The 20,532-nt window shown below is 40.5% G+C and overlaps 1 long non-coding RNA gene and 4 other non-coding genes across 5 annotated transcripts in view; all 5 read left to right on the forward strand.

Annotated features, from left to right (window-relative positions):
* The window catches only part of SNHG14 (small nucleolar RNA host gene 14), a 595,855-nt gene that overhangs the window by 427,841 nt on the left and 147,482 nt on the right, over nucleotides 1-20,532 (forward strand). The window contains exons 139-144 of the long non-coding RNA NR_146177.1: nucleotides 777-885; nucleotides 14,983-15,166; nucleotides 15,464-15,596; nucleotides 16,881-17,005; nucleotides 18,157-18,285; nucleotides 19,970-20,086. This is a non-coding gene — a long non-coding RNA (small nucleolar RNA host gene 14). The remainder of the gene's footprint in view (nucleotides 1-776; nucleotides 886-14,982; nucleotides 15,167-15,463; nucleotides 15,597-16,880; nucleotides 17,006-18,156; nucleotides 18,286-19,969; nucleotides 20,087-20,532) is intronic.
* SNORD115-45 (small nucleolar RNA, C/D box 115-45) lies at nucleotides 13,079-13,131 on the forward strand. Its single transcript, NR_003498.1, has one exon. It is a non-coding gene; the product is annotated as a small nucleolar RNA, C/D box 115-45 (small nucleolar RNA).
* Nucleotides 15,143-15,213, forward strand: SNORD115-46 (small nucleolar RNA, C/D box 115-46). The gene has a single exon (NR_047033.1). It is a non-coding gene; the product is annotated as a small nucleolar RNA, C/D box 115-46 (small nucleolar RNA).
* SNORD115-47 (small nucleolar RNA, C/D box 115-47) lies at nucleotides 17,069-17,101 on the forward strand. Its single transcript, NR_003499.1, has one exon. It is a non-coding gene; the product is annotated as a small nucleolar RNA, C/D box 115-47 (small nucleolar RNA).
* SNORD115-48 (small nucleolar RNA, C/D box 115-48) lies at nucleotides 18,335-18,410 on the forward strand. Its single transcript, NR_003362.1, has one exon. It is a non-coding gene; the product is annotated as a small nucleolar RNA, C/D box 115-48 (small nucleolar RNA).

The following is a 20,532-nucleotide window of genomic DNA, read 5'->3' on the forward strand; positions in this document are numbered from 1 at the left end:
CACCCAGCGCAGCGTTCTGTTGAGACTCAGTGCTCAGGTCAGGCCTGGAGGATTTCTCAGGCCATCTGAGGGGGTTAGAGGGGAGCTCTTTGTCCATGGAGTGTGGTGCTTGAATCTGCCCTTGGGGTTGGGTCATGGAGATTCAAGGATGGTGCCTCACCCATGGCCCTGATTGGAATTGTCCATTGAGAAATACGCCATTCCAGTGGGCCTCCTGGAGCCTGATGGGGGGTGGTGTTTTTTTCCCTGGGGTTGAGTCGTTGATGGGGACTCACCATAGAAAGCATGTGGCTCTGGAGGCCCCCAGGCTTTGATTTCCAGTGCCTGCTTGGAGTGGGCACCAGGGCCGGCACCCACCATGCCCAAGGGCAGGCTCTGCGACTGCCAGGTCTGCATTGGCTCCTGGCATCAGGACCAGCCTCCTTGGTTGGCCATCAGCTGCTTGGTTGCCCTGGCCCATGCCCCGTGGTCCTGGTGTGGCCCTGGGGTGGTTGAGTGGAGCTGGCCCAGGCAGTGGAGGTGCTCTTGGGGCCTGCAGTAGGGTGCAGCCCAGGCATCTTGCCTGATCCCAGTGACCTGCTTGCCCTGTCTTTCCAGGATTTTGTGGCAGGGAGGGCCAAGGGTGCCCTGCATCCGTGATGGGTCAGTGTTCCACGTGGATCCCATTACGTGGGTCCATAGAGGATGAGCATGCGTGAGCCAGCGCCCCCTTCCCACTTCTTCTCATGGAGCTGTGAGGCCCTGTGTGGACAGCTGTCTTCCTCTTGTCCCACCAGGTGGTGAGCCCGGAGGAGGACTTGCGTTCGGCCCGCTGGTCCCAGTGTGTCCGGAATTGGTGGGTTCTTGGTCTCACTGACTTCAAGAATGAAGCTGCGGACCCTCGCTGTGAGTGTTACAGCTCTTAAGGTGGCATGTCTGGAGTTTGTTCCTTCTGATGTTCGGATGTGTTCGGAGTTTCTTCCTTCTGGTGGGTTTGTGGTCTCGCTGGCTTCAGGAGTGAAGCTGCAGACCTTCGCGGTGAGTGTTACAGCTCATAAAAGCAGTGTGGACCCAAAGAGTGAGCAGTAGCAAGATTTATTGCAAAGAGTGAAAGAACAAAGCTTCCACAGTTTGGAAGGGGACCCAAGTGGGTTGCCACTGCTGGCTGGGGCAGCCTGCTTTTATTCTCTTATCTGGCCCCACACACATCCTGCTGATTGGTAGAGCTGAGTGATCTGTTTTGACAGGGCGCTGATTGGTGCGTTTACAATCCCTGAGCTAGACACAAAGGTTCTCCATGTCCCCACTAGATTAGCTAGATACAGAGTGTTGACACAAAGGTTCTCCAAGTCCCCACCGGAGTAGCTAGATACAGAGTGTCTATTGGTGCATTCACAAACCCTGAGCTTGACACAGAGTGCTGATTGGTGTGTTTGCAAACCTTGAGCCAGATACAGAGCGCGGATTGGTGTATTTACAGTCCCTGAGCTAGACATAAAGGTTCTCCAAGGCCCCACCAGAGAAGCTAGATACAGAGTGTCGATTGGTGCATTCACAAACCCTGAGCTAGACACAGGGTGCTGATTGGTGTGTTTACAAACCTTGAGCTAGATACAGAGTGCCGATTGGTGTATTTACAATCCCTGAGCTAGACATAAAGGTTCTCCAAGGCCCCACCAGACTCAGGAGCCCAGCTGTCTTCACCCAGTGGATCCCGCACTGGGGCTGCAGGTGGAGCTGCCTGCCAGTCCTGCGCCATGCGCCCGCACTCCTCAGCCCTTGTGTGGTTGATGGGACTGGGCACCGTGGAGCAGGGGGCGGCACTCGTCGGGGAGGCTCTGGCTGCACAGGAGCCCATGGAGGGGGTGGGAGGCTCAGGCATGGCAGGCTGCAGGTCCCGAGCCCTGCCCCGAGGGAAGGCAGCTAAGGCCCGGTGAGAAATCAAGTGCAGCGCCGGTGGGCTGGCACTGCTGGGGGACCCAGTATACCCTCTGCAGCTGCTGGCCCGGGTGCTAAGCCCCTCATTGCCTGGGGCCGGCAGGGCCGGCCCGCTGCTCCGAGTGTGGGGCCCGCCAAGCCCACACCCACCCGGAACTCCAGCTGGCCCACAAGCGCCCCGCGCAGCCCCGGTTCCCACTTGCGCCTCTCCCTCCACACCTCCCTGCAAGCTGAGGGAGCAGGCTCCGGCCTTGGCCAGCCCAGAAAGGGGCTCCCACAGTGCAGCAGTGGGCTGAAGGGCTCCTCAAGTGCCACCAAAGTGGGAGCCCAGGCAGAGGAGGCGCCAAGAGCAAGTGAGGGCTGTGAGGACTGCCAGCACGCTGTCACCTTTCATCAGGACAGTGTCTGTCAGCCAGGTGCACAGCCCTTGGTGTGCTGGAGCTTGGGCTTTTCTTGGCAGCCTGGTGTCCTGCATTGAGCGGTGGTGAGCTTGTCCAGGTCCCGCTGGTTACCTGCACGGTGACGGGGGTGCCCTCGGTTAGGTTGATGATGAGAACCTTATTTTGTCTCGAGGAGAGGTTATGTGATGGGTGTTGTGGCAGCTCTTTGTATTTCATTTTCTTCAGTGCTTTTTGTGTGTTCTCTTTGTATTTTTTACCGCTTTGTGTATTTTACTTTCACAAAGGCAGCAGCAAATGTTTTATTGGTGGTGGTATTTTTCATTTTTATTTACTTCCTAATTTGATAGTGTTTTAGTTGGAATACACAGTCTCATTGTAGTTGTTCAGAAATATGCTTTTTTTCTGTACATTATATGATTGTGCATAATTTTTGCCAGTTTTTTTTTTAATTGGGGACTACAGTTGAATGCACTGCCTATCTCCTACTTTACTGAAACAGATTGTATGGAAATCTAAAGACGAGAAAGTAGACAAGCACAGCAGAGGACATTTATTTTGATATAACCACAGAAATTCATTGATATGACCTTATCATATTGATGGTTTTTCAAAGAAATATAAAATCTTTCGATAATGGATTGTCTCAGTTGCGTTTCTCCTTATATCATGTTTTGCCTTCAATACAAATTGCAATGCTTAGAAATTTAAAGAACACCTTCTGAAGTGGAAGATCTAGCTAAAGAATTAGATTGGTATTGGCTGAAATGTTGCAGTAATCACATGATAGGGTTAATACAACATGAGTTACATGCTGAGTGCTCTAAGGTAGAAAGTAGGTAACAAGGAATAACAGGTAGGTAATGTAAGTCGGGAGAAGGAAACTCTAGGACAGAATCATTAGAAAAGGCTTGACGTCAACAGCAGTGTATAGAATTTACAGTGTATAGAATTTACAGTGCATAGAATTTACAATAAGTGCCTTTTTTTGTGCTCATCAATGCTCTTGCTTATATTGTAGGAGGAGTTAGTTCCCTTGAAGAAATATCAATACAAATTTCCAAATTGCAATGCAGAGGGAAAAAAGAATGAGAAAGTAAAAAATATCCAAGAACTCTGGAAGCATTTCAAAAAGTGTAAAAATGCATAGTGACAATGTCAGGAGAATAAGGAGATAAAGGAAAAGAAATATTTGACACAACAATGACTTGAGCACTTTCTAAAATTAATGATGGACAGAAACCCACATGTTCAGGAAGCTCAGAGAGCACTCTGCAGAATAAAAATATTTTACAAATCGACACCTTTGCATTTCATATTTAAAGTCCAGAAAATCATAGACTAAGGGAAAAGCTTGATAGGAGCAATAGGAAGAAAACCATCTTACCTATGGAGCAACAAGAATAAAAATTGCTTTGAAATTATCTTCAGAATCCATGAAAGCAAGAAGTGAGTCAGGGTGAAATATTTAGTGTTAAAAGTAAGAAACAAAAAAAAGTACCAACTTTGAATTTTCTGCTCATCAAAATTATTCTTCAAAAGTGAAGGAGAAATACTCTCTGAGACCAACAAAAATTGCTAGAACTTCTTGCCACTACACCAACCTTTTAATAAACGTAACAAGAAATTCTTCAGAAAGGATAAAAATGACATAGGTCGGAAAATCTAATTTACATAAAGAAATGAAAAGCATTGGAGAAGAAATATATGAAGAAAAATTAAATATATATGTATTTTTTGATTCATAATTGATCTTTCAACAATTTGTTCAAAATAATAACAAGATTATATTTGGTGATTATAGGTTATGGAAAAGTGAAATGAATGACAGCAATATTATAAGTCATCCGGTTCCAAGATGGCCGAATAGGAACAGCTCCAGTTTACAGCTCCCAGTGTGAGTGACGCAGAAGACAGTTGATTTCTGCATTTCCAACTGACGTACCAGGTTCATCTCACTGGGGCTTGTTGGACAGTGGGTGCAGCCCATGGAGTGTAAGCCGAAGCAGGACGAGGCATCACCTCACCTGGGAAGTGCAAGAGGTCAGGGAATTCCCTTTCCTAGCCAAGGGAAGCGTGACAGATGGTACCTGGAAAATTGGGACACTCCCACCCTAATACTGTGCTTTTCCAACTGTCTTAGCAAACGGCACACCAGGAGATTATATCCCGTGCCTGGCTTGGAGGGTCCCACATCCACGGAGCCTTGCTCACTGCTAGCACAGTAGTCTGAGATCAAACTGCAAGGCAGCAGTGAGGCTGGGGGAGGGGCATCCACCATTGCTGAGGCTTGAGTAGGTAAACAAAGCGGCTGGGAAGCTCGAACTGGGTGGAGCCCACCACAGCTCAAGGAGGCCTGCCTGCTTCCGTAGACTCCACCTCTAGGGGCAGGGCATAGCAGAACAAAAGGCAACAGAAACTTCTGCAGACTTAAACATCCCTGACAGCTTTGAAGAGAGTAGTGGTTCTCCCAGTACAGAGTTTCAGATCTGAGAACAGACAGGCTGCCTCCTTAAATGGGTCCCTGACCCCCAAGTAGCCTAACTGAGAGACACCTCCCAGTAGGGGCTGACTGATACCTCATACAGCTGGGTGCCCCTCTGAGACGAAGCTTCCAGAGGAAGGATCAGGCAGCAACATTTGCCGTTCTGCAATATTTGCTGTTTTGCAGCCTCCACTGGTGATACCCAAGCAAACAGGGTCTGGAGTGGACTTCCAGCAAACTCCAACAGACCTGCAGCTGAGGATCCTGACTGTTAGAAGGAAAACTAACAAAGAGAAAGGACATCCACACCAAAACCCCATCTGTACGTCACCATCATCAAAGACCAAAGGTAGATGAAACCACAAAGATGGGGAGAAACCAGAGCAGAAAAACTGAAAATTCTAAAAATCAGAGCACCTCTTCTCCTCCAAAGGAATGCAGCTCCCTGCCAGCAATGGAACAAAGCTGGACGGAGAATGACTTTGACGAGCTGACAGAAGTAGGCTTCAGATGATCGCTAATAACAAACTTCTCTGAGCTAAAGGATGAGGTTCAAACCCATCGCAAAGAAGCTAAAAACCTTGAAAAAAGATTAGATGAGTGGCTAACTAGAATAAACAGCATAGAGAAGACCTTAAATGACCTGATGGAGCTGAAACCATGGCACAAGAACTACGTCACACATGCACAAGCTTCAGTAGCCGATTTGATCAAGTGGAAGAAAGGGTATCAGTGATTCAAGATCAAATGAATGAAATGAAGCAAGAAGAGAAGTTTAGAGAAAAAAGAGTAAAAAGAAACAAAGCCTAAAAAAGTAAAAAAGTAAAACAAAGTAAAAAAGAAACATGGGACTATGTGAAAACACCAAATCTACGTCTGATTGGTGTACTTGAAAGTGATGGGGAGAATGGAACCAAGTTGGAAAACACTCTGCAGGATATTATCCAGGAGAACTCCCCCAACCTAGGAAGGCAAGCCAACATTCAAGTTCAGAAAATACAGAGAATGCCACAAAGATACTCCTTGAGAAGCGTAACTCCAAGACACATAATTGACAGATACACCAAAGTTGAAATGAAGGAAAAAATATTAAGGGAAGCCAGAGAGAAAGGTCAAGTTACCCACAAAGGGAAGCCCATCAAACTAACAGCAAATCTCTCAGCAGAAACTCTACAAGCCAGAAGAGAGTGGGGGCCAATATTCAACATTCTTAAATGAAAGAATTTTCAACCCAGAATTTCATATCCAGCCAAACTAAGCTTCATAATTGAAGGAGAAATAAAATACTTTACAGACAAGTAAATGCTGAGAGATTTTGTCACCACCAGGCCTGCCCTACAAGAGCTCCTGAAGGAAGCACTAAGCATGGAAAGGAACAACCAGTACCAGCCACTGCAAAAACATGCCAAATTGTAAAGATCACTGATGCTAGGAAGAAACTGCGTCAACTAACGAGCAAAATAACCAGCTAACATCACAATGACAGGATCACATTCACACATAACAATATTAACCTTAAATGTAAATGGGCTAAATTCTCCAATTAAAAGACACAGACTGGCAAATTGGATAAAGAGTCAAGACCCATCAGTGTGCTGTATTCAGGAGACCCATCTCATGTGCAGAGACACACATAGGCTCCAAATAAAGGGATGGAGGAAGATCTACCAAGCAAATGGAAAACAAAAAAAAGCAGGGGTTGCAATCCTAGTCTCTGATGAAACAGACTTTAAACCAACAAAGATCAAAAGAGACAAAGAAGGCCATTATGTAATAGTAAAGGGGTCAATTCAACAACAAGAGCTAACTATCCTAAATATACATGCACCCAATACAGGAGCACCCAGATTCATAAAGTAAGTCCTTACAGACCTACAAAGAGACTTAGACTCCCACACAATAATAATGGGAGACTTTAACACCCCACTGTCAACATTAGACAGATCAACAAGACAGAAAGTTAACAAGGATATCCAGGAATTGAACTCAGCTCTACACCAAGCAGACCTAATAGACATCTACAGAACTCTCCACCCCAAATCAACAGAATGTACATTCTTCTCAGCACCACATCGCACTTATTCCAAAATTGACCACATAGTTGGAAGTAAAGCACTCCTCAGCGAATGTAAAAGAATAGAAATTATAACAAACTGTCTCTCAGACCACAGTGCAATCAAACTAGAACTCAGGATTAAGAAACTCACTCAAAACCACTCAACTACATGGAAACTGAAAAATCTGCTCCTGAATGACTACTGGGTACATAATGAAATGAAGGCAGAAATAAAGATGTTCTTTGAAACCAATGAGAACAAAGACACAACATACCAGAATCTCTGGGACATATTTAAAGCAGTGTGTAGAGAGAAATTTATAGCACTAAATGCCCACAAGAGAAAGCAGGAAAGATCTAAAATTGACACCCTAACATCACAATTAAAAGAACTAGGGAAGCAAGAGCCAACATTTTCAAAAGCTAGCAGAAGGCAGGAAATAACTAAGATTGGAGCAGAACTGAAGGAGATAGAGACACAAAAAACCCTTCAAAAAATCAATGAATCCAGGAACTGGTTTTTTGAAAAGATAAACAAAATTGATAGACCACTAGCAAGACTAATAAAGAAGAAAAGAGAGAAGAATCCAATAGATGCAATAAAAAATGATAAAGGGGATATCACCACCAATCCCACAGAAATACAAACTACCATCAGAGAATACTATAAACATCTCTATGCAAATAAACTAGAAAATCTAGAAGAAATGGATAAATTCCTGGACACATACACCCTCCCAAGACTAAACCAGGAAGAAGGTGAATCTCTGAATAGACCAATAACAGGCTCTGAAATTGAGGCAATAATTAATAGCCTACCAACCAAAGAAAGTCCAGGACCAGAGGGATTCACAGCTGAATTCTGCCAGAGGTACAAAGAGGAGCTGGTACCATGCCTTCCGAAACTATTCCAGTCAGTAGAAAAATAGGGAATCCTCTCTAACTCATTTTATAAGGCCAGCATCATCCTGATACCAAAGCCTGGCAGAGACACAACAAAAAAGAGAATTTTAGACCAATATCCCTGATGAACATCGATGCAAAAATCTTCAATAAAATACTGGCAAACCGAATCCAGCAACACATCAAAAGCTAATCCACCACGATCAAGTTGGCTTCATCCCTGGGATGCAAGGCTGGTTCAACATACACAAATCAATAAACATAATCCATCATATAAACAGAACCAAAGACAAAAACCACATGATTATCTCAACAGATGCAGAAAAGGCCTCGACAAAATTCAACAGCGCTTCATGCTAAAAACTCTCACTAAACTAGGTGTTGATGGGACGTATCTCAAAATAATAAGAGCTGTTTATGACAAACCCACAGCCAATGTCATACTGAATGGGCAAAAACTGGAAGCATTCCCTTTGAAAACTGGCACAAGACAGGAATGCCCTCTCTCACCGCTCCTATTCAACTTAGTGTTGGAAGTTCTGGCCAGGGCAATCAGGCAGGAGAAAGAAATAAAGGGTATTCAATTAGGAAAAGAGGAAGTCAAATTGTCCCTGTTTGCAGATGACATGATTGTATATTTAGAAAACCCCATCGTCTCAGCCCAAAATCTCCTTAAGCTGATAAGCAACTTCAGCAAAGTCTCAGAATACAAAATCAATGTGCAAAAATCACAAGCATTCCTATACACCAATAACAGACAAACAGAGAGTGAAATCATGAGTGAACTCCCATTCACAATTGCTTCAAAGAATAAAATACCTAGGAATCCAACTTACAAGGGATGTGAAGGACCTCTTCAAGGAGAACTACAAACCACTGCTCAACGAAATAAAAGAGGACACAAACAAATGGAAGAACATTCCATGCTCATGGATAGGAAGAATCAGTATCGTGAAAATGGCCATACTGCCCAAGGTAATTTATAGATTCAATGCCATCCCCATCAAGCTACCAATGACTTTCTTCACAGAATTGGAAAAAACTACTTTAAAGTTCATATGGAACCGAAAAAGAGCCTGCATTGCCAAGTCAATCCTAAGCCAAAAGGACAAAGCTGGAGGCATCACACTACCTGACTTCAAACTATACTACGAGGCTACAGTAACCAAAACAGCATGGTACTGGTACCAAAACAGAGATATAGACCAGTGGAACAGAACAGACCCCTCAGAAATAATACCACATGTCTACAACCATCTGATCTTTGACAAACCTGACAAAAATAAGAAATGGGGAAAGGATTCCCTATTTAATAAATGGTGCTGAGAAAACTGGCTAGCCATATGTAAAAAGCTGAAACTGGATCCCTTCCTTACACCTTATACAAAAATTAATTCAAGATGGATTAAAGACCTAAATGTTAGACCTAAAACCATAAAAACCCTAGAAGAAAACCTAGGCAATACCATTCAGGACATAGGCATGGGCAAGGACTTCATGACTAAAACACCAAAAGCAATGGCAACAAAAGCCAAAATAAACAAATGGGATCTAATTAAACTAAAGAGTTTCTACACAGCAAAAGAAACTACCATCAGAGTGAACAGGCAACCTACAGAATGGGAGAAAATTTTTACAATCTACTCATCTGACAAAGGGCTGATATCCAGAATCTAGAAAGAAGTTAAACAAATTTACAAGAAAAAAATCAACCCCATCAACAAGTGGGCAAAGGATATGAACAGACACTTCTCAAAAGAAGACATTTATGCAGCCAAAGACACATGAAAAAATGCTCATCATCACTGGCCATCAGAGAAATGCGAATCAAAGCCACAATGAGATCCCATCTCACACCAGTTAGAATGGCAATCATTAAAAAGTCAGGAAACAACAGGTGCTGGACAGGATGTGGAGAAATAGGAATACTTTTACACTGTTGGTGGGATGGTAAACTAGTTCCACCATTGTAGAAGACAGTGTGGCAATTCCTCAAGGATCTAGAACTAGAAATACCATTTGTCCCAGCCATCCCATTACTGGGTACATACCCAAAGGATTATATATCATGCTACTATAAAGACACATGCACATGTATGTTCATTGTGGCACTATTCACAGTAGCAAAGACTTGGAACCAACTCAAATGTCCATCAACGATAGACTGGATTAAGAAAATGTGGCACATATACACCATGGAATACTTTGCAGCCATAAAAATGGATGAGTTCAAGTCTTTTGTAGGGACATGGATGAAGCTGGAAACCATCATTCTCAGCAAACTATCGCAAGGACAAAAAACCAAACACTGCATGTTCTCACTCATAGGTGGGAATTGAACGGTGAGAACACTTGGACACAGGGTGGGGAACATCACACACGAGTGGCTGCCGTGGGGTGGGGGGAGGGGGGAGGGATAGCATTAGGAGATATACCTAATGTAAATGACGAGTTAACGGGTGCAGCACACCAACATGGCACATGTATACATATGTAACAAACCTGCACGTTTTGCACATGTACCCTAGAACTTAAAGTATGAAATATATATATATATATATATATATAGTCATGAGGGAGAGAAAATACTCTTAGTTACTTGGACTAACCCACGAAGTAGGACAGTATAATTTGAAAAAGGACTTGGATTAGTTGTAAACGTATAATGTAATATCCAGCACAGCCACTAAAAATGATTTTGAAAAAAGCAGTATAATCAATATACTAACAGAAGAAAAAGCAGAATCAGGCCAGACATGGTGACTCATGTCTGTAATCCCAGCACTTTGGGATGCTGAGGCAGGAAGATCACTTGAGCCCCGGAGTTCAAGTCCAGCCTGGCAACGAATAAGAGCCCATCTCTACCCTCCACCCCCCCCAAAAAAAAAAAGAAAAAGAAAAAGAGGCCGGGCACGGTGGCTTACTCCTGTAATCCCAGCACTTTGGGAGGCCGAGGTGGGTGGATCGCGAGGTCAGGAGATCAAGACCATCCTGCCTAACACGGTGAAACCCCGTCTCTACTAAAAATACAAAAAAAAAAAAAAAATAGCTGGGCATGGTGGCGGGCGCCTGTAGTCCCAGCTACTCAGGAGGCTGAGGCAGGAGAATGGTGTGAACCTGGGAGGCAGAGCTTGCAGTGAGCCGAGATTGCGCCACTGCACTCCAGCCTGGGAGACAGCCGCAAGATTCTGTCTCAAAAAAACAACAACAACAACAAAAAAAAACAAAAACAAAAACAAAGAAAACGAAAAGAAAAAGCAGAATCTTTTTTTTTTTTTTTTTTTTTTTTTTTTTGAGATGGAGTTTTGGTCTTGTTGCCCGGGCTGGAGTGCAATGGCACGATTTCAGCTCACCACAACCTCCACCTCCCAGGTTCAAGCAATTCTCCGGGCTCAGCCTCCCGAATAGCTGGGATTACAGGTGTGCACCACCATGCCTGGCTAATTTTTTGTATGAAAAAGCAGAATCTTATACAATGCTCAATTAAAATCAGGGAGAGGAGAAAAAGAGTAGAATACCAAAAAAGTAACAAATTACAAGGTTGATATAAATAGAAAACAATCACAAATACTGAGTATACTAATCTAAGTATATCAATAATCACTTTAAACATCGCTTAAAAGACAGAGATTGTCAGTGGATTAAGAACAAGACCCAAATATATGTTGTCTATGAGAAATGCACTTTAAATAGCTGGGCATGGTGGTGTGCACCTGCAGTCCTTAGGAGGCCAAGGCGGAGTGTCACCTGAGCCCAGGATTTTGGGACTACAGTGAGCTATGATCATGCCACTGCACTCTAGCCTGGTTGACAGAATAAGACCTCATCTCTATAGAAAAAAGTAAGTAAATCTACTTTATAAAGGCACAAATATATTCACAGTAAAGGAATAGAGAAAGATATCCCATGCTAACATTAATCAAAATAAAGTGAAATAGCCATATTAATTTCAGACACAACCGACTTTAGAACAAGGAATATTATCAGAGATCAAAAGGGACATTCCTTAATGATAAAGGGATCAGTTTTCTAAGAAGACATAACAATCCTTAATGTGTACGCACTGAACAGCAGATCATCAAAGTACATGAAGCTAAATCTGATAGAACTGCATAGAGAAATAGATAAATTCACTCTTAGAGTTGGAGGCATTGGCATCCCTCTATCAGAAATGGACAGGTTTAGCAAGCAGAAAATCAGTAAGGGCATAACATGATCAATCATGATCAAAAACTTGATTCAGTCAACTATATGTAACTGACATCTATGGACCACTTTACCCAACAACAGCAGATGACACATTTTCTCACACACACATGAAACATTCAGCAGAATAGACCACATTCTGGGCTAGAAAATGCACCTCAACAAATTTAAAAGAATAGAAATCATACAAAGTATGTTCTCAGACTACAATGGAATGAAAGTAAACAAAAATCACTAAAAAAGATAGCTGAAAAACATGAAAATACTTGGAGGTTAAACAACAGACTGAAATAACTGAAGGTCACAGAAGTCTCAAGATAAATTTTTAAAATATTTCAAACTAAATGGAATTGAAAGCACAACTTATCAAAAATTTAGGAACGCAACAAAGGCAGTGCCTACTGGGAAATTTATACCACTGAATGTATGTTAAAAAGAACAAAGATCTAAATAAATAATCCTTCCCATTGGAAAGCTAGGGGGAAAATTCAAATTAAATTCAAAGTAAGCAAGTAAAAGAAATAATAAAATATGAATACAATTCTGAGTGGCCTGATATCTGATTTCTGGAAGCTGAGTTTTATGTGGCTTTAGAAGTTTCATGTTATGAGTGTGAAATGGCAAGTGACCATGGCGATTGCTTCTGATATGGCCACCTCAATTACATAGAGAAGGGATGATCAGTGGCATCATCCCAGTTCTGCATGATACCACACCAGTGATTCTCCAAAGTCAAGAAACCTGTATATGTTGTCCTTGTGTTTGGTGAATCTGTGGTCTATAGACTACATAATGGGCTATTTCTGGGGTACTGACCATTTTGCTCCATTAAGGAAAACCATGCATGAGCCATATAACTATGGGAAACAATGTTTTCCTTTTTGACACCTGGCCTACTCTCTTCTTAGGTGAGAGCAAAGGAAGAGCACCACTTGGCCTGCTGCACCCAGGGCAATTTATACCATCCAGATATCCAGCACTGAATATGTAGCAACTCCAATCCACCATAGAACATTAATCTATCTCTGATAAGCATGCTAATATCTATGATTCTGCCTTTGTGGGGAGATGACTCCATAGATTAACCCCCTGGCTTGGGGCAATATGGAGATGTTATATTGTCTTCGACAGGGAAGATGACATAAAAATTATGTTCAATAGGATTATGTGGAGACTTAACATAAGTGACAAACCTAAGACAAGAAGTTAGAAATCCTTGTTTCTTTTAGGTGAATAATTTTGGAGCTTGAGAAAAAGACACCATTGTGGCGAACTTGCTTTGCCAAACCCTGTGTATGCATTTTTGGGTAAACAACACATTTTCATCCTTTAAGCATTGTTTCCATTATTTATAATTCCTAATAGTATGAGACATTTAGGACTCATTCCTTGGTTCTTCTTCTCTCATTGTATCTTTCATTGTATCTTTCAGTGCTGCAAGAGATGCAATCATCCCATTAATGAAAGCAGAGTGACTGCCTTCGTCACACATACATTCAAAATAGATCACTAGGCTAGTGATGATTCTCTCTTAAGGCTATTATGTTTACTCATTTAAAAAATCTGGATCTCAGTATAGATTTTCTTCTCAGTGAGTGACTGACCTATCTGATATGATGCTATGACAAAATCTTTACTTTTTACCTGAATTTGGTGGGATTGAAAGTTGAGAACATATTAATTTATTTTCTGTTTCACTTGATTAATAATGCCCAATCTAACATGCAGTGTTCACTTGGGTACATATATACAACTACATCAAATTTTTTCTTGTTTTACCTTAAAAGTGTTAAGATATTGTAATGGTATGGCCAGTTTACTCACTGGTAAACTTTTCATAACAGAAATATCATGCCAGTGGACACAAATATGTAACATCAGTAATTTGCTTTCCTCATGAAACAGAGAACTGAATAAGTTGATGGGTAAACTAGTATCTGAATTATAAACCCCAAATATCATGTGACTTCATCATTTTCAGTATAATGAAAATACAGGCTGTGAATGCTTCCAGTTGGTCCTGAAAGGGCCTTTGAGGTGAGTAGGTTCACCAAAGCGGCAACATATGTGTCCCAGTGGGCATTCTACTCCTCAGTAAGTGACTTGACATTCTTTATGGCTTCCTCATGATTAAAACAAGTCTTTTTATTGAAATTTTACTGAAATAATGATGAAACAATGTAATATTCTTTTCATCTACATATAAGAGTAGACATAGATTAACCTCTACCTTTTTTTTTTTTTTTTTTGAGACGGAGTCTCGCTCTGTTGCCCAGGCTAGAGTACAGTGGTGCGATCTCAGCTCATTGCAACCTCTGCCTCCCAGGTTCAAGCGATTCTCCTGCCTCAGCCTCCTGAGTAGCTGGGATTACAGGCACGTGCTACCATTCCTGGCTAATTTTTTTGTAATTTTAGTAGAGACATGGTTTCACCATGTTGGTCAGGCTGTTCTTGAACTCCTGACCTTGTGATCTGCCCACCTCTGCCTCCCAAAGTGCTGGGATTACAGGCTTGAGCCCCCGTGCCTGGCCTTCACCTCTACCTATTATAATATTTTCATGTTATTCCATTTTGTCATGTTTGTGGGTCATTTGATGAGGGTTCACAATATGAAAACTGGGCATTTTGGCCAAGATGCATGTAAATGAATACAACTCCATGTGCCCTGATAACTGATTTCTAGATCCTGAGATGCAAGTGGCTTCCAGAGTGTCTGTATTTTATGAAAGTTCATATACAGTAAACCATGCTAATTGTTACTGATACAGCTTCCTTGAATATATAAAGCGATGATTAATGGGATGTTTTGTTTCTGCAGAAAACCACTGAATTGCTTCTCCAAAGCCAAGTGACCTGTATGATTTGTCCTTATTATATTTTGTGAACCAGTGGACTAAAACCTTTATAATGGGTCATTTTTTTAGTATTGTCAATATTGCTCAATTAACAAACATGACTCATATACACAGGTGAGATGTAGTTCTCCCTTTGACATTTGCTCTACATCTGTCCCTTAGATGATGATATGGAAGAAAAGCACTCTTTGGCCTGTTGTGACTGGGACAGTTGACAGCACCCAGGTGTCCTTTAATGAAAATGCTCTTGACACCAATGCATCCTAGCATCACAGCTTCAGGAAGCCTTCTCAAGTGTGCATGGGGAGTACTATGTCTTTCATCAATAATGAAATCTTCTGATTTGGTGAGAAATAATGCCTTAAAATTACACTCAATAGGATTATGCTGAGGCTCAGCCTACCTAGATGAAAATGCTGAAACAGATAATAGTGACTTCTTATTTCCCTTCAAGGGGAATTTTATTTTGAACTTGAAATAACAAAATCTTTATGGGTAACTTGTTTGCCCAACTGTATCAGTGCACCTATAAATGAACAAAAAATTCTCAGCCTATAAGCTTTGCTTCAGTGACCTTTAATTTCTAATAGTAAGGTATATTCAGGTCTCATTCTTTGGCTTTTTCTCTTATTGTGTATTTCAGTAAGACATGCTGCCAAGAGATGTGCCATTCTATTATAAAAGATCAGTAGCTTCCTTTACCGACGTGTATATTCTATCTAGAACATTGAGCTATGGAAGACTCCCACCTAAGGGAATTAGTTTTACACCTTCAGGTAATCTGAACTTCAATATGAGTTTTGCTTTATGATATAATCCTTATGACAAAATCTTTACTTTTTATCTGAACTTCATACAATCAATATTGAAGATTTTTTAAATTCACTGTTACCTAGTCCAATATTTAATATACATTTGGCTGTAGATACATGACTAGACAAAAATTTTTTATATTATTATTGTGGGGGCTCTAACAGTGTTTCACTGTTTTGAGTTACTGATGAACTTTCTGTAACTGTGAGACCATGGTAATGGAAGAGACCGTGGTAATGGGGAGGAGAATGTGAGGATCAGTATGTACTTTGCCTATAAAACTTAAATATTTAGTAATTTGATCACCAAATTGATACTCAAATTTCAGTTCCTATCATGTGTAAACCAAAAAGTATCTGAGATTTAGAAGTTTATTTAGAAGTGGATTTTGCCAAGGTTAAGCACATGCTCAGAAGAAATAAACCCAAAATCACAGAAACCGTCTGGGGTCTATGTCTTTCTCCAAAGATGATTTTGAGGGCTTCAGTGTTTAAAGGGGAAAAGTGGGCTGGAGGGGGAAAAGGGAGGGTATGATAATCCGTATGTTCCAAGACAAAAGGAGCAGGTAGGGGTATAGTCAATAATGTATTCATCTCATGCTCAGTAAATCAGCACTTTACATAAGATAAGGTGAACATAGAGAAGCTACCTGTGGAGATCTTTAACCTTTAATCTGTAGCTATCTGCTTAAGATCAAAAGGAAATTCTTGCATGACTCAGCTTTCAGCTTATTTTTTTTTTCTCTTGGCGTAGTAAATTGGGGTCCCAAGTTTATTTTCCTTTCACACATGTGACCCCACTATTTTCAGAATAATGAAAGCACATGTTAGAAATGATGACACTTATTCCTAATATGGACTTTGAAATGACTGGGTTCACAAATTTAGAATCATGGATCTCATTATAGGTTTTTATTTTCAATGAGTGACTGGCCTACTTGATGGAATTCTTTCAAAAAATGTTCACTTTTTACTGAGATTATATTAAAATAATGTTGGAATGTGTTCAGTCATGTTTACCATCTCTATAGTATGATATATGATAATATCGCAGATTACTCAGTGTCAAAAACCTGGCATACCTTGTCCTTATGATGTTGATGAGTCAATGGTCTAGAGCCTTAGTAATATGTCTTTTTGTGGTAGTACGGACCGTATCTGTCCACTAAGAAATAGCCTGTGTAAGCCATATACACATGAACAATTTATGTCTGATTTTGAACTATGGTCCCATTCCTATGCCTGTAGATAAAGACTGCTGAGAAGAGCACCCTCTGGTGTTGTCACAGAGGCAAGTGCTACCGCACAGGCATGCTGCAGTGAATTTAACTGATCCTCTGTCCCTGCAACCGTTGTTTAAGGATGCTATTCTGGTAAGGGTTTACAAGACAACGTAAATATATGTATAAAGAGTATCTTCAGGAGACGTAATAATGTAAAAATCATGCTCAATAGAATTAAGCTGAGGCTCAAAATAGTGCCAATCCTTGCAAGAAGGTGTGAGAAGTCATTAGATTTGGGGGGTATGGGTTATTCCATTTTGAACTTGGTAGGAAGAAACCCTTGGGGGAATCTTACATCATTTGCCTCTACCTACTTCTAAAGGAACTTTTAAAATTCTTTTATCTTGTCTTTATTCTTAATACTCATACATTATTAGAGAGAATATCTTGGTTTATTTTTTCCTCATGGTGTGCTTCAGAATGTTCATCCAGCAAGAGGTGTGTCATTACACGGATTATATATATGAGTTCTGTCTTTCGTAATTAAAAAATTTCAAGTGGACCATTTGAATATTAAACATTGGCCTTCAAAATGATTACATTTACCTGTTCATACAAAATTAGTGAGCAATGATCTATTCTTTCCAATGAGTGACTGATCTAATGAGGTCCTCATTAAAACTCCTTTTTTTTTTTTTTTTTTTTTTGCCTGAACGTACTTTGATTTAAAGATGTGACATTTAGTAATTCATTGCAATCAACTCTTTAGTGATTGCACAAATAGACAATCCTTTTCTATTATTTTATTTTTTGGTTGCTGTGTATGGTGTTATGATGTTTGTGGATCATTGAGGCACTACTCACAACTGAAAGACTTTGGCAATTTTAGGGAATGGCTTGAGATTCAGCTATAGGTTACCCTTGATTGAAATTGAATACAATACAGGTAGTCTGAAATCTCATTTCCTTATCCTGAGTCTCACTCAGGTGTCATTAGATTCATTATAAAGAAATGCATACACTATGTATGATGCCAGTTGTTACTGATATGAAGACGATAAGAAGCTTTTATTTCTGCAGGGAAATAATCCCTTACCAGGTCATCAAAAGACATGATACCTATGTGCTTGGCCCTTACTGTACACGGGGAATCAGTGGTCTACCACAGCTTAAGTAACGGGTCATATTTGGAGTATCACACATCTCAGTCTTGTAGAAATTAGGAACAGCAATTAGGAGTCATGCACATATAAGAGATGTAATCCCACCCTTTGACTATAGCCTACTCTTGTCTTTTACAGAAAAGACTGTGGAGGAAGAAAACCCTTTACCCTGTTGTTCAGGGAGAAACTGACACCACTCAACTGCCTGGCACTGAAAATGTGGCATCCAGTCCACTTTACCATCAGTGTTTAAGGAAACCATCTCTGGTAAGCATATTTGATCCAAGTGTGCATATGCACATGAGTGCCATGGGCTGGGTCAATGATGAGATGTTACCTTGAAGAGAAATGATGACGTAAAAATTAAGTTCAGTTGGATTACGCTGAGGCCCAGCCTAGGTAACAATTGTGAGACAAGAAGTTTGGATTTCTTAGTTTCCTTCCATTGGGGACTTTATTTTGGGATTCTGGCAATGGAATCTTATTGCGAAACTTGTTTTGCACGCTTCTATCTGTGTGCTTCTAAGTAAACTATAAATTCTGATTCTTTAAGTGCTATTTAAGTTTCCTACAATTCCTAATTTTCTTGGATATTTGGCACTAAGACCCTTGCTCTTTTTCTCTCATTGGATGATTTAGTAAGTCCTACTGGCACTATTCTATTGAGTGGAGGTGAGAGGCTGCCTTTGCTGACTGAAAAATTTCAAATAGATAATTGAACTAGTGAAGACTGAGCTCTATAATAATTAGATTTATTCATTCAGACAACATGAATATCACGATAGGGTTTTCTTCTCAATGATTGACTGACACATGTGATGCAATCCTCATGAGAAAATCCTTACTTTTGCCCTACGATTGATTGTTTTCAGGGTTGAGAAATATGATACATTGGAATTTTGCTCAATGCGCTACAGTTATCGTGGTCTAAATATACAGACAAAATTTTCTGTAATGTTAGTATAATATTTTAACAGTGCTAGGATATGTTTTGATCATTAATGAATCTTTATGACTTAAGGGTCCTTGCAATTGGGATAAAAATGTGAGTTTCAATAATATGTGTTTGCCCATGAAACTTGAAATTAGATAAATTGATGAGCAATCTGGTGCCTGACTTTTCTTTCTCAAGTACCTTTGGCTTCGTTTTCATTATGATGAAAGTGTGTGCTGTGAATAATGCCAATGGTAAATAAGACCTTTATGGACACTTATATGAATGACAGTCAGGGCCGTTCCTTCAGGCCACATGATTATCGTTATGCATTCTTCTTCTCAATGAGTGACTAGCATACTTGCCAGGATCTACAAGAGGGAAACTTTATTTTTTACTAAAATTGCATCGATATAATGTTGACAAGTTTTGTGATTATTGGTATCATCTCTAAGATGTGATGCTCATTTGGTCTAAATATAGAAGTTAACATATTAACTTCTAATTTATATATGTCAGGTTGCTATGTTTTTACAATGTTTGTGGTTTATTGATGATGACTCACAACATAAAGACTATGGCATTATGGCTACATGTTCTAATTCTGATATATACATATCCCATCATTCATTAAATTAAATACAATTATGAGTAGTATGATGTCTGTTTTCTAAAATCTGAGTTTCACCTGGCTCCAGTATGATCATTATATGATGGAGTGCAAGCAACATGTTAATGCCAATTGTTATTGATATGGCTTCCTTGAATATGTAAACAAGACTGATCAATTGAAGGTCTTATTTCTGCATTAAACTACCTGAGATATTCTCCAAATTCAAGAGACCTGTATAGTTAGTCTTTATTCTGTTTGATGAATAAATGGCCTATAGCCTATCTAATGGATCAGTTTTTCCAGTACTAATCATATCTCTTCATTAAGAAATAGCATGCATAAGCCATACATACAGGAGGTAATATTTGTCATCTTGATCTACTGTCTTATCCTCCTCCCCTTAGATAAGGATGACTGAGGAAGAGTACTCTTTGGCTTGTTGACACCAGCACAGCTGACACACCCAGATATCTGTTTGGTCTCCTGTGAACTTTCAACCAGGATTTAAGGATGCCACTCTGGTAGGTATTTTCAGACAAAGTGAATATGTGATTGTAGAGTTCCATGGCTTGTTTCAACAATAAGACCTTATGTTGTCTTGAGGACATGAGATGACATGAAAACTAGACTGGCTGGTCCTTATCTTTTCTGGGGTATTCTAGTTTGAGCTTAAGATAAAGAAATATATTTGGGATATAGTTTCTCTCACCTGTTTCTATTAGCTTCTAGAAGACCACTTATCAATTCTTTCCTCCTGATTTAGTGGAAAACATTTTGGCAGTTCCTCAAAAAGTTAAAGATAAAATTACCATGTAACCCAACAATTCTGCTCCTAAGTACACACTCAAAAGAATTGAATACAAATGTTCAAATGAATACATACACATGAATGTTCATAGCAGCACTATTCACTGGCTGGAGTTCCAGACCAGCCTGGCCAACGTGGCAAGACCCTGTCTCTACTAAA

This window comes from Homo sapiens, chromosome 15 (assembly GCF_000001405.40).
Source record: "Homo sapiens chromosome 15, GRCh38.p14 Primary Assembly".
NCBI lineage: Eukaryota > Metazoa > Chordata > Mammalia > Primates > Hominidae > Homo > Homo sapiens.